Source organism: Homo sapiens, chromosome 8, assembly GCF_000001405.40.
Source record: "Homo sapiens chromosome 8, GRCh38.p14 Primary Assembly".
Classification (NCBI taxonomy): domain Eukaryota; kingdom Metazoa; phylum Chordata; class Mammalia; order Primates; family Hominidae; genus Homo; species Homo sapiens.
In genome coordinates this window covers 135,789,587-135,803,944 of record NC_000008.11, presented here as the reverse complement: position 1 = coordinate 135,803,944, position 14,358 = coordinate 135,789,587, and the positions used below count along the sequence as shown (strand labels likewise).

The 14,358-nt window shown below is 41.0% G+C and overlaps 2 annotated features.

Moving 5' to 3' along the window:
• Positions 12,462-13,225: an enhancer, noted in NCBI's record as "NANOG-H3K27ac-H3K4me1 hESC enhancer chr8:136802963-136803726 (GRCh37/hg19 assembly coordinates)". NCBI's record gives its function as "activates a minimal SCP1, AML or CMV promoter by ChIP-STARR-seq in naive H9 embryonic stem cells {active_cell/tissue: H9 hESC(naive)}" and the evidence as "EXISTENCE:reporter gene assay evidence [ECO:0000049][PMID:30033119]".
• Positions 13,226-13,989: an enhancer, noted in NCBI's record as "NANOG-H3K27ac-H3K4me1 hESC enhancer chr8:136802199-136802962 (GRCh37/hg19 assembly coordinates)". NCBI's record gives its function as "activates a minimal SCP1, AML or CMV promoter by ChIP-STARR-seq in naive H9 embryonic stem cells {active_cell/tissue: H9 hESC(naive)}" and the evidence as "EXISTENCE:reporter gene assay evidence [ECO:0000049][PMID:30033119]".

The window sequence follows — 14,358 nt, the reverse complement described above, 5'->3', positions numbered from 1 at the left end:
CTATCGCAAGGAGAAAAAACCAAACATCACATGTTCTCACTCATAGGTGGGAATTGAACAATAAGAACACGTGGACACAGAAAGGGGAACATCACACACTGGGACCTGTTGTGCAGTGGGGGCCGGGGGGAGGGATAGCATTAGGAGATATACCTAATGTTAAATGACAAGTTAATGGGTGCAGCACACCAACATGGCACACGTATACATATGTAACTAACCTGCACGTTGTGCGCATGTACCCTAAAACTTAAAGTATAATGAAATAAATAAATAAATAACACCACAAAAAACAACAAAAGAAAAAGAAAAAGAATTCGAGCTGGGCGCGGTGGCTCACGTCTGTAATCCCAGCACTTTGGGAGGCCAAGGTGGGCTGATACCTGAGGTCAGGAGTTCGAGACCAGCCTGACAAACATGGAGAAACCCTGTCTCTACTAAAAATACAAAATTAGCCGGGCGTGGTGGCGCATGCCTGCAATCCCAGCTACTCAGGAGGCTGAGGCAGGAGAATTGCTTGAACCCGGGAGGTGGAGGTTACAGTGAGCTGAGATTGTGCCATTGCACTCCAGCCTGGGCAACAAAAGCAAAACTCTGTCTCAAAAAAAAGAGAGAGAGAGAAAAGAAAAAGAATACAAAAATATACAATTACTGTGGATTTCGCAAAACCACACAACAATGTGAATACATGGATATAAATCTGCTTTGAAATTATACTCAAGTTGTTTGATCGTCTCTGGGGTTCTCTGGCAAGACATTCCCACAGAAGTGTTCCCTATTTACTCAAGTTTAGGGCTTTTGAGGGAGGCACCATATCTTTTTCAGCTTGTTTCATCCACTGCTCTCTCCAGTCACTATTTGTTTCTGAGCAACAACCTAGCACACAGTGGAGAGTCCATTAGTGGCTGATTTATGAAAGAAGGAAGGAAGGAAGGAAGGAAGGAAGGAAGGAAGGAAGGAAGGAAGGAAGGAAGGAAGGAGAAGGGGAACGGGAAGGGCAAGAGGAAGGGGAAGGGGAAGGGGAAGGGAAAGGTGCAGTGAGGTTGCTGATTGTTCATGTGACTGTGGATGGGTCTCCTCACCTGCTTCCCTGGGTTGCAGAGCCTCCACAAAGGGAGGGAGGGAAGGAGAGAAGGAGGGAGGGAACAAGATCTGGTTTATTTTTGAATCACCATAATCTTTAGTGTTTTCTCATTCCAGGAAGTTCACTTGACTGAAGTGTGAAAGATTTATGAAGAATCTCTTTTTTTTAATTAATCAGAGCACAGCATAAAGATTAGAAATAAATTACATTCTTCAAAATTCCCTTATGTGAAAGAGAGACTCAGCTTCTCCTCTTTAATCCATTAAGTCCCCTCTCTTTCTCCTGAAGTTTCAGTGGCTGTTTACCCCCTCTGGTTCCTACCGTGTCTAGGTAGGCCAAGGAGATTCCACCCTGGAGACTCACATAGGAGCCTGAAACAATAATTAGTCACACCAGAGGATAACCCAATTCCCAGGAGGATTTCCAGGGAAAAAACGGGCATGAGAGTTAGTAGTTGTGCATTGCAATCACCTGGCAAGCTTGTTCAAGTATCTCCAGGCTCCACCTCAGACCAATTAAGTCATAATATCTGGGCCGGCAGTGTCCGGCAAAAGTATCATCTTTTAGGAGCTCCTTACATGAGTGTAATGTGCAACCAGGTTGGAAAACTTCTAGCCTAGAGAAATGGAAAAATCTGCTTTTTTTTGTTCTGTTTGTGTTTTTGTTTTTGTTTGAGACAGAGTCTTGCTCTGTTGCCCAGGCTGGCACGCAGTGGCACAATCTTGGCCCACTGCAACCTCAGCCTCCCAGGTTCAAGCAATTCTCCTGCCTTGGCCTCCTGAGTAGCTGGGACTACAGGCATGCACCACCATACAGGGCTAATTTTTGTGTTTTTAGTAGAAATGGGGTTTCGCCATGTTGGCCAGGCTGGTCTCGAACCCCTGACCTCAAGTGATCTGCCTGCCTCGGCCTCCCAAAGTGCTGGGATGACAGGCATGAGCCACCCTGCCAGGCCCCATGATCTGCTGTTAATTCACTGTGTGAACATGGTTAGGCCCATTGCATTATCTGGGCCTCCGTTTTCTCATCATTGGAATCTCTGGGATGAACAGTATCATCCCTAACTCTGTTTAGAGATAAACTGATTAAGGTCCCATTGCTTGGTCAGTGTGTGTTTCAACTGTTTAATGAATACTCTTATACATTTTCTACTCTTTTTATGTAACCCAAATTTTTGTAGTTACAACAGAAGCAAGACACTGTGGAGAGTGCAAAGATGAAAGATGTGGCCTCTTCTCTCAAGCACTTTATAAACAAGTTCTAAATCTGTCAGTTGCCTAAGAGTAAAAGGCAGAGAGAGGCATGTTGGATGGATGGATGGGTAGATAAGATAGATGACAGATAGAAGATGTCTTCTTGTGATATATTCCACAGATCATCTGGATTCTTCACTTTCCTTTTTAAATCCTAGCACTATCCTGACATGAATGGTAAGCGGATGGCAGGGGGCAGGGTACTGTCATGTGGGTTACAGGAAGATAAAATTCAAAAAATCAGAATTTTATTTTTGTGTTTATTTTGTGTGACCATAAACAAAGGTTGAGTAATTCCAGGTCTTGGTTCAAGAAACACTATCAATGATCCATGCTTATTTTCATTTCATTCATTATAATTTAATCATGTAAAAGCATGTATATATCTATTGCCCAATCCATGAATAAGAACCTTATCATTTACTTAATTTAAAGCTCTCCTCTTCCAATTTCCTTGCCTTTCTCTCCTAACCAAGTCCAAAGATAATAATTACTTTAAATTTTGTGGATCGTTAAATTTACTTTTAGTTTATAAAATCTTCGTCACATACTCACATGTATACAACACAGGCACATATATCTGAACTATAGATATTATTTAGTCTTGCGTATATCTTAACTTTACAAAAAGGCTGTCGTATCGAAAACAATTTATGTTTTGCTTTTCAACCAAACATTATGTTAATAAGATTTATCTCTGTTGGGTGTGGTCATAGTTCATTCATTTTTACAGCTGTATACTATTTTATTATGTGAATATACTATGATGTCTTCACCTACTCCCCTTTAGTGAGCACTTGGGTGGTTTCTAATGGTATAATAATGCAAAAGCACTGCTATTCCCATTCTTAAATATGTCTCCTGAATACCTGTGCAAGAATTGTCCTTCCGTGTATACCTAGAGGTACAATTCCTGGGCAGCTGCATATGTGAATGTTTAATTTTACAAGCTAGTGGGTAATTGTTTTCCAATGTGGATAGGTCAAATTGAAGTCAACCATAAAGTATAAAAAAGCCTACATTAGAATTTAATTATTTGGTCAACAAACATTTATGGTGAGCACATCAGATACTGTGCTTTATGCTAGGGACAAAAAGGATGCAACAACAGAGAAGTTACCGCATCTCAGTGGGGCTACGCGCAAGCCAGGGAAGAATTAGAATAACATCATGAGTGCAAGGAGTGGTGGTTATTACATTCCTGACAAAGCAGAAAGAAAGGGCCTCCAATTCTAACTTGGAAGTCAAAGAAGTATGGAGCAAAAAGGGGTGATAGACAACATCTAGTCCAACACATTCATTTTCTAGGCAAGGCCATAAATGCCTGAGTGAAACTTGGGGAAAAGATAGCAAGGGGTAGTCAAAAAAAATCATCCATAAAATAAAAAAAATAAAAATCTCATGATTATATTGTGGTGACTTTTAAATGAAATGCTTCATATAAAGAGTTTAGCAGACTTCCAATCCACGTAAACAACTAAGTAATGTTAACAATTATTTTATCAGCCAAGGTAGTGCCTCAATTGTGGTTCAGACAATTGAGTGATTGATGTTCCATTCATTAAGATGAAGAGCAGAGGGAGAGGATATGTGGGGATGGGGAGATACTCACATACAGAAGCCTGCTGGATACAAGTCTGAATTCAGAGATATAGATGTTGGTGTCATTAGCTGGAGCTCTGGGGAAAGAGTGTGTAAACGAGAAGATTGGAAGCATAACCCTGCAAAATAGGAATATTTAAGTGGGAAGAATAAGTAGAGCCCACAAATACCTGAGAAGTGAAATGAAATATACCAAGAGATTTGGGGGTGTGAGGAACATGCGTGGAATCTAGAGAGCAGAGCATTTTAAGGAGGAAGTAACCCTGCCAAATGAAGAAACGGTTCATTGGAATGACCACCAAAGATGGTTTGGGAAACCCTGGGAAACTTAATGTCAGTGGAGTGTTGAAGGCTGAAACTTATATATCCCAGGTTTCAAGTAAATATTAGATGAAGAGGAAGGAATAGCTGATAAGAGAAAGAGAGGTAACTAGAAGAAGCATTGGCTCAAATAAACGATCTATGTTAAACATATTAATAGACTGAAAGAAAGAAGCTAATGAAGAGAGAATTTGAAAATACAAGAGAAGCCCTTAATTGACAGAATGAAAACCTTCTGAGTGGAGCGTATTTAAATCCTCTTCCTTTTAACTGGAAGTTTGATGAGCTTTGCTTTGGAGCTAATTGACAGTTTCCTTTAGCCCCTAGCCTACTCAGACAAAGAGGTTATTCTAGATAATCAAGTATTATCTCTGAGTCTTTCAGATACAATATTTGTAACTTTTACTAATGCAGCATTCTCCATTGTTTCCTAGAATCTGAAAATAAGGATCATCTGCTATCCAACCATCTGATTTTATTAATGAGAAAATTTTGATCCTAGAATTTTAATCCACTAAACTAAGGTCATGATAAATATCACAATAAATTAGTGATGGAGATAGAAATGATGTCCACGGCTTTTGAACCCGGTTTAAAAATAGTTTATTCCACGTGTACCAAACACATAAAACAGACAAAACATCTGTCCTTGTGGCTAACACAAGATTATTTTCACAAGACCAAATTGTCCTTACATATTTGTTTTTATGTCTCTTTAAAAAATATGACTACAAATTACTGAGGCTCCTTCAGTGAAGACTAGAGCCAATTCTCACCTTATTTTGCCATTAAGACTTTGCACCCTCCATTTGTTTAAGTCCTATCAGCTTAGTACGATTCATAATATTGGAAAATAGGTAGAACAAATGAGGGTCCCATTTCTTAGTACATCATCTGAGCCATTACTCTGTCATCATTCACCAGATTCCAGCATTGTGATGATAGATCTCCACTTCCTTTCCTCTAACATGCAAATATCTTTATTATTATGTAAACAGCAAAGGGGATAATATATTTGAATTTTCTGGCATATAGTAGATATTCAGTGGGAGGTAAGTTTGAAAATTTTTGAGACAGATAAAGAACGTTCAAACAAAAACAAAACAAAGAATTGGAAGAAAACTTAGAGATCATTTTGCCCAACAAAATTGCTTTGTGGAGGCTCTGCAACCCGGGGAAGCAGGCGAGGAGACCCATGCACAGTCACATGAACAATCAGCAACCTCACTGCACCTCGAACCTGGATCTTCTAACGTTCTGCCACGAACTTCTGGTTGAGGTCAAATTGTGTTGTTTTGTGAAGGGCAGTCTAAGGAATATGGGCTTCAGACAATGGAGACCTATCAAAAGGTTACAAGGAGTAACATGATAAATTGCTCATTAGGGCTTGACACCCAGTGTGTGTAATAATTGGCAAGGACCGGGACTGTGGGAAGAGTTCTTGCCCTGTGGATGGGAGGCTCCATTTATCTGGTGAGCTCTCTCTATTTCTAAATTTAATAAACCATGAAAACTTTGACTTCCAACAGCACCCTAAAAATAATCAAAGAGATCACAAAAATGCCAACAGATGCACAAATTCAGTTTCCACATGCCTGCCCCAGCTCCAGCAGGACCCTGGGTACCTGAAGGCACTTGGTATGCACTGAGCTGATCAAAAAACATCAGTGAGAACATATTTCATCTGTGGACATAATTTTTTTTTCAGTACAGTGACTTTCACTCCCGACTAAAAAAGAAAGTGCTCAAAAAAGAGAGAAAAAAACGAAAAGCAAAGTCTTTATATCAAAGCCGTATTGATTTTTTTCATTTACAAAACTCGACCATGCCTGTCTATTAAAAATAGAATGTCTAAGGGCCTGAACTTATATCCCACCAAGAACTCAGACTTTCTGCTGACTTCAAGGCAGCCTTCTCAGTTAGAACAAAAGCAGAAGAGGCCAAGAAAGGGCTAGGAAATCAAATCTCAAATCCAGGTCTTCAAAACATTGCTTTCTTATTCTATCATCACCTTCCACAAAGTTTTTGAGTTGAACTATCACACGAGAGATATCAAAGGGCTTTATGAGAAATGCCATGTGTGAGTGAAAGCAAGAGAGTCAACAGACATCTGAGTTCCTATCTTGTCACAGAGGCTGCACTGGAAGTGGTAGAATAAATGACTCCCAAAACTGCCTCTGAAGACTAATGGCCCATCCCTCTCCAGCAGCCACCCTGTACCCCAAACACCTGAACTGCAATTTGCAGCCCAACTGCAAGTGTGATGTTGACCCCCAACATCTCCAAATATTTGCCTACATTTTTACCCTTTCATACTTCAACACCCAGCCTAAGTGTCTGCAATTACTCTGGACACTCTGAAATTATGTTTAACTGTCTTCTTTCTCCATGGAAATGGGAACTCATTCTGCAAAGGCACCAGGCCTCGTTCACTTTGGACCTCCTGCATTTACCATAGAGGTGAATGATAGGTGTTTCTTGAAGAATGCAAGGGCAAATGAAGATGGAATGCATCAGACACAGATTCTGCCATCAATTAAGCATCTAGGAGGGGAAGTAGCAACAGCCCAAAGTTAATAGAAATCCCAAGCAAAGTGCTAAATGTGATGAGGAGTGCTCAGAGGAAAGGCTTTAAAAGCAGATACTGGAGAGTATCTACTGCTGCAGGATAGGGTAGGCTTCATGGGAGGAAGTGCCATATGAAATTGACCTTAGAGGATGTCTAGGATTAAACTAACTGAACCAGGCAGGCGCTTGTAAAGATTAAATGCAACATAAGCAAATTCCTGGGTCCATAGTGGGTGTTTTTTAAAAAGGCAGTTAATAATAATAACGCTCTAGTATCAAATAACTATGACAGTTGTTAGTACTTCCATTTTATTTCTTTCATGCCTTTACCATCCTGGAATCTCTGGCCAAATGAGTTTGAAATTGGTATGTCTTACCAACCACAAAGTCATATTAACAGCCTTTGCCCAACTGGGCATGGAAGATATTGAGCTCCCGGTTTGTTTAGCTTTGGGCTTAGCATTTATTCATAGAACTTGGTTTAACTGGCAAAACCACAGTGTTAGTTCATACTCTATTCTTTATGGCCAGGAATCAACTCAGATTTTTCATTTTCCCAAAAAGAATGCTCCAAAATTGGCACTATTTATCCAGATGCCTCCTTTAACCCTCCCTTTAACCAGATGCGCTTCCCTCTAAAACATACCATGAACTTTCATCTCAATGACATTAGAGTACCAAACAGTAACAGAGGGCTCTTGCTCTTCAAATAAGATATATAATAGGTGTTCTGCCTACTCCTAAAATGGTTATGGATTTTTTTTAAACCCATGTATATTTATAAGGTGCCTGTATCATTATTGGTTCTGAACTCAGCTGCAGTCAACACTGACTTCATTCTCCTAAATGTTCTTCTGGCTCCAGTTTCTCCTTCGCCAGTCCATTCTCACATGACACCAGCATGGTCTACCCGAAACACAGATTTTCTCATGTCCCTTCACTGCTTCAAAGCCCTCTATGACATTCCATTCTCTTCTGCAGTGGTTTTCAAACGGGGTTCCACCCAATCTTAAGGATTTTTCTGTCTATGAATGACTTTCTTAAGGGACTAGAATGGACAGTACTGCAGAGACATGGAACTGGAAATGGCAAGTTCACAGTTTTTAAATCAGTGGCTTATTGATTAAAAAGAAAAAGTCAACAAAACTCATCGAAAAGTGTTCAAAGCCTTTACAATCTTGCTATTACTTCCCTACCTGTCCAACCTTTACATGCCCTATATATATATACCTAATGCTTCCACTGACAACTCTCTACATCTTAAAATTCCATGCCTTAATACATGTCATTAATATCTGCTTACAACCACTCATCCTACAATCATTCTCCCTCGGTAAACTCACATTAATCCTTTAATACTCAGCTCAAATGTCTCGTCGTCTGTCAATCCTTTCTCAGCTCCCCCAGGAGAAGTTAGATGTGCCCTCCTCTTTGTTTCTTTGACAGTGGCCCCATGTGAATACTTTGGTATCTATTCCTCAGTTACAAAGTTGAGTAGAAAAACAAAATTAACCTAACACAAAAATAGTCATAAATAAGCTTTTTTTTATAAAAAAAAAAAAGGAAAGAAAACAAGAAAAATAATACAAAACAAAACAAAAAAAGAGTTCCTGATATAACCAGTCTCTATCTCCATGAACAACTCTGTTTTCTTGTTGATTATTCTATGCATGTCAAGTATTTCAAATGTTATACAAATACTTTTGGAGTTGTTTACAAAATGAAATTGTAACTTTTTCAAAGACATAGAATTTCATGAACTCAATAAAAGTAATGTCGGAGAATTGCCAAAAGCATAAGATATCTATTGACAAGTTCGAATAGACAATTATCAAGTAAAAAAAGACAAAATCTACACACTGAACCGGTACTTCAGAAGAGAATATAAATATTAAAGGATTACAGTGGTCATTTGTAAAATCGATGATCCCCTTAGAGAGCTTGACACTTTAAATTAATAACACTAAGCTAACTACCATAACAAACAGCCCGACATCTCAGAGGCTTAACCTAAATGCAAGTGTGTTTCTCACTCACATGGTCTAATGTGGATGGATCAGGGTGTGTTGGGGAAAGAGGCAGACGTTCCTCCCTCCACTCAGGCTCCCTCTGTCCGTGGAGCTCTGCCGTCTTCTAGAGCAGGGACGGGAAATCTGTGCCAGGTAGTAAATACTTTCAGCTTTGTGGGCCACTTGATCCCAGTCACAACCACTCAATTCTGCCACTGTAGCATGAAAGCAGTCATAAACAATACATAAATAAATGGGCATGGCTGTGTTCCTATAAATCTATATTTACAAAAACAAGTGGTGGGCTGGGTATGGCTTACTGTCTGAGGTTTGCCAGTTCCTGTTCTAGAGCTTCCTCCTCCTCTTTACTCAAAAGGTAGAGGGGGCCAGTTGCGGTGGCTCACACCTGTAATCCCAGAACTTTTGGAGGCCAAGGCAGGCGGATCATTTGAGGTCAGGAGTTCGAGACCAGCCTGGCCAACATGGTAAAACCCTATCTCTACCAAAAATATAAAAAATTAGCCAGGCGTGGTGGTGCACGCCTGTAATCCCAGCTGCTCAGGAGGCTGAGGCAGGAGAATCACTTGAACCCAGGAGGTGGAGGTTGAAGTGAGCCAAGATCGTGCCACTGCACTCCAGCCTGAGTGACAGAGCGAGACTCCATCTCCAAAAAAAAAAAAAAAAAAAAACATAGAGGGGAAATAGAGAAGAAAAGCAAGACACACCTCATAAGGCTATTAATGCTTATACATTCCATGCTAGACTATTAGCTCTATTAAGGATTTTTGCCTGATTTGGCCACTGATCTATCCTGAATGTCTACAGAAGTGTATGTAGGTGCTCAATAAATATATATTCGATGAAATGATTGAATACATTACTATAATTTTATAAGACAAAATAAGTACTTAACCAATTTGTGCATTCTAAAAATTAAAAGTAGTACCTAATGTCTGTTGATCATTTAATACAGGTACTGCTCTAAAATCCATTTTGTGTAATATACCATTAAGTCTCTGACAACAGCCCTGAGAAATAAGTTCTATTATTATCATCTTTTTCATTCAAATGAGAAAACTGAGGCACAGAGATGTTGATCGTAGTTCTAATGTCACTGAGCTATGATTCCTTATTCTTGAAATGCACTTTTTAAATTTCTAATTTCATGTTTCCAAAATCTAATCTCAGTCATCTTTTTTTTTTCTATACCACTTCATATGACATTTTCTTCTTTTAAAACCAAATTGCTTTCAGGTGTCTTTTCTTGGTACCAATTTTTCTCCCTTTGTGATAAGTTCTTGTTATTTTCTTTTATTTCATGTTGCAAGTATGCCACTTATCAATGTATTGCCACTCAGCTGCAAAGTAACCCCTCAATGACAGCCCTGCAAAAAAATGGAGCTGGGCCCTTTAAATATTTTTCCATTGTTACCTTTACCAATAGACGGTGCTGAAAAGACATTGCAGGAAGAAAGGTACTCCTCTTGAGCTTCTCCTGCACCTCCCAAGGTTGTTAGGGGTGAGTTAAAAGAAAAAAGCAATACAGAATACCTGACACACAGTTTGTGCACAGGTAATGCTGTTTCCATTTCTTGATGAGTGTTCACATCTGCTTTTAATATTGTGGCTGATTAGCAACAGAATGTGGGGGTGAAAGAAATGTAGAAATTTTTGTTTCCTTTTTACCCCATTATCTTTGGAGGAAAAAGACCACAAGCAGTGCCCCACTACAGAAGTCTTGCAAACAAGAGGATTTATTAAATTATTTACGATCATGAATTTACAAATCAATTAATGTAAACTTCGCTATTTAGTCCTTTTTGAGGGGAATGCAGAAATAGAAACTGTATTATGCTATATCCAAAACAAATTGTCCTGTGACCTCTATTTACTAGATCTTCAATCACCTGCGAAAGATTTTAAAGTTGAGTGTTTTTGCTGTTGTTTGGTTCATTTGTCAATTTGTTTTGCAAATTTAGAAAAACACTCTGGAGGAATTTAATAAAAGACTGTTTTTTAAGGAACAAGGAAAACTGAAGAGATTGTCAAAATAATAACGATTATTTATCAAGACTGCAAAGCAAGTCATCTGTGATTATCAAAGAAACTCCAAAAGTTAGGAGGTATAATTGCCACATTATATTGAGGAAAAATAATTCAAAGGGATTATGAAATGTACTCAATAACACAAAGCTAGAAAGTGACTTGGCCGGGATTAAAACCCCAGATCTGAGTGACTGTGAACACGCCTTCTTGACCTGACACCATGACACTTCTCTCACAAACTGTGACAATAACGTTTGCTAAAACCAGATTGCAAGCCCATGTTTGCCTGACTCTATCGCAAATACTCTCCTCCTATAAGGGGCAGCAGGACAGGAGGCAGAAGGAGAGTCAGAGCCAAGCACAATATTTACCACACATTTCAGATTATGACATACTCTAAGGTAAGAATTTTGGTAGGAAACGATAGAATTTCAAGACCAACTGGCTCAGCAAGTTGCAATAAAGGGAAATTATTGACTGGTGCAACTGGCAAGTCCTGATATAAAGCTGGCCTCAGGCATAGCTATCTACCTGAGCTGAGATCATGATGACAGTGTTTCACCTTTCTGTCCACCTGTCTGTCTCTGATTATCTTTGGTCACTGGCTTTATTCTATCTGAATACAGACAGTCCCCAAGTTACGATGGTTCAACTTATGATTTCATTATTTTATGATGGTATGAAAGCAATATCCATTCAGTAGAAACCGTACTTCAGATTTTGAATTTTGACCTTTTCCTGGGCTAGCAGCATGTGGTATGATACACTCTCATGGTGGTGGGCAGTGACAAGGAGCTGGAACTCCCAAACAGCCACAGGATCATGAGGTAAACAACCAACACTCTAGTGTGCTGTGTTGACAGTGTTTTTTGGATACTGTGTTTAGTGTTTTCACATCCTGTCATGTCTTCAAAACACCCATTTGTATACAGTATTCAACACTTTATTATAAAATAAGCTCTGTGTTTGGTAATTTTGCCCAACTAATGTAAGTGTTCTGAGCATGTTTAAGGTGGGCTAGGATAGGCTATGATGTTCAGTAGGTTAGGTGTATTAATTGCCTTTTGGACTTTTCAAGTTATGATGAGTTTTTTGGGACATAACCCCATAGTAAGCCAAGGAGCATCTATATAGTCAAGCCTTTTCCACGTGACAGGCAAAACAGCTACCTTCAGCCCCCAGGCCATGTTCACAACCCTTGATCTAAAAGATCACAACTATTGCTTATCTATTTTTTGGATTTTTCAGTGTTTTTTTCATTGATTCTTTCTCATCTTCATGAGTTTGTCTAGTTTTGATCTTTGAGGCTGCTGACCCTTAAATGAGGTTTTTGTGGGAGTATTTTGTTGTTGTTGATGCTATTGTTTCTGCTTTCTGTTTTTCTTTCAATGGTCAGGTCCCTCTTCTGTAGGGCCGCTGTGGTTTGCTGGGGGTTCACTTGAGGCTCTATTCATCTGGTTTGCTCCCGCACCTGGAGATATCACTCAAGGGGGCTGGAGAATAGCTCATCTATTGCCAATTTAATAAAGTCTGGGCAAAGTCTCAAATTGGCTGAAATCGTTGGACTCTTCTAACCACCTGAAAGTGTGAGGCATCACCAAAATCATCCGGAGGGAGAATAAAGTGCCCCGAATCATGAGCAGCCAACAAGAAGCTCTCACTGCATACAAAATATACACATGCATACAAGCCAACATTACAGCATAATTCCAACATCCCTAAGATAAAATAAGTGATAAAGCATGGAACATTTTTACAAATAAAATCAGCTAAATCAGGGAGCAGGGCCAGGATGGCCAACTAGAAGCCGCAGTGGTCAGAGGCTCCATCGAAAAGAGCCATAATAGCATGTGAATCCTGCACCGGCAACCAAGGTATCCAGGTTCTCTCATCAGAACTGACTAGGTGGCCGGCGCGACCCACGGAGAGGAAGGAAGAGCAGTGTGGTTCAGCGGCGCACTTGAGAGCCACACGGGGCAGAGGAGCCCCCTGCCAGCCAAGGGAGGCAGTGAGTGAGTGTGCTACCCAGCCGGGGAAACCATGCTTTTTCCACAGAACTGTGCAACCCACGGATTGGAAGATCCCACTCGTGAACCCATGCCACCGGGGCCTAGACTCCCAACTCCAGAGCCACACAGATTCTCAATGGGCTCCCAGCTAGAATCTGCTTGAGCCTGCGGAATTCCAGGGAGAAGGAGCGACCAGCACCAGGGCTGTGGCTCCCTGCTGTCTGAGCCATTTAAGCTCCTTGGAGGAGGGGCAGCAACCAGCACTGGGACTGATAGCTGCCTAACACACTAAGCTCCCTGGATAGGGGAAGGGCAGCAGCCATCTCTATAGCTCCAGGCTGCGCTTTTCCCTTGCTGGAGCCAGGAAGGCTAGATGGCTTGGTCCCAAGAGGTGTCCCCCACAGCCCAACACACCAGCTGTGGCAGACTGTCGCCAGAGTGCCCCTTCAGGCCTGACCCTGACCCATCCCTACTCACTGGGTGGGGCCTCCCTGCAGGAACTCCAACAACTCCAGCCAGGCACTCAGGCACAGAAATCTGATCTCCCTGGGCCTGAGCCCCTAGAGGGAGGGGTGGCCACAATCTCTGTGAACCAGCAGACTTAGCCTTTCCTCCTGCTAGTTCTGAGGAATCCGGGCAGCCCAGACGAGTGGGTTTTCCCCCAGCAAAGCTCACCTCCTCCACCAAGGGACAAAGTGCTTCACTAAAAGGGTCCTGATCCCCGTGCCACCCAACTACGTGAGACCCTCCAAGAGGGGTTGTCAGACACCTTATACAGGAGTGATCCTTCTGGCATCATGTTGGTGCCCTTCAAGGTCAGAGATCCCAGAAGAAGGAGCCGGCACCCATCTAGCTATTCTCCAGCCTCCTTGAGTGATATCTCCAGGTGGGGGAGCAAACCAGATGAATAGAGCCTGAAGTGAACCCCAGCAAACCACAGCAGCCCTACAGAAGAGGGACCTGATCATTGAAAGAAAAACAAGCAAGCAGAAAGCAACAACAGCATCAACAACAAAAAAAGTTCCCATAAAAACCCCATCTAAGGGTCAGCAGCCTCAAAGATCAAAACTAAACTCATGAAGATGAGAAAGAATCAATGAAGAAAACACTGAAAACCCAAAAGGCCAGAGAGCCTCTTCTCCTCCAAATTATCTCAATGCCTCTCCAGCAAGGGCACAGAACTGGATGGAGGATGAGATAGATGAATTGACAGAAGTAGGCTTCAGAAAATGGGTAATAACAAACTCTGCTGAGCTAAAGGAGCATGTTCTAACCCAATGCAAAGAAGCTAAGAACCTTGATTAAAGGTTAGAGGAGCTGCTAACTAGAATAACCAGTTTAGAGAGACACATAAATGACCTGTTGGAGGTGAAGAACACAGCATGAGAACTTCATAAAGCATACACAAGTATCAATAGCCAAACTGACCAATCAGAAGAAAGGATATTAGAGTTTGAAGACCACCT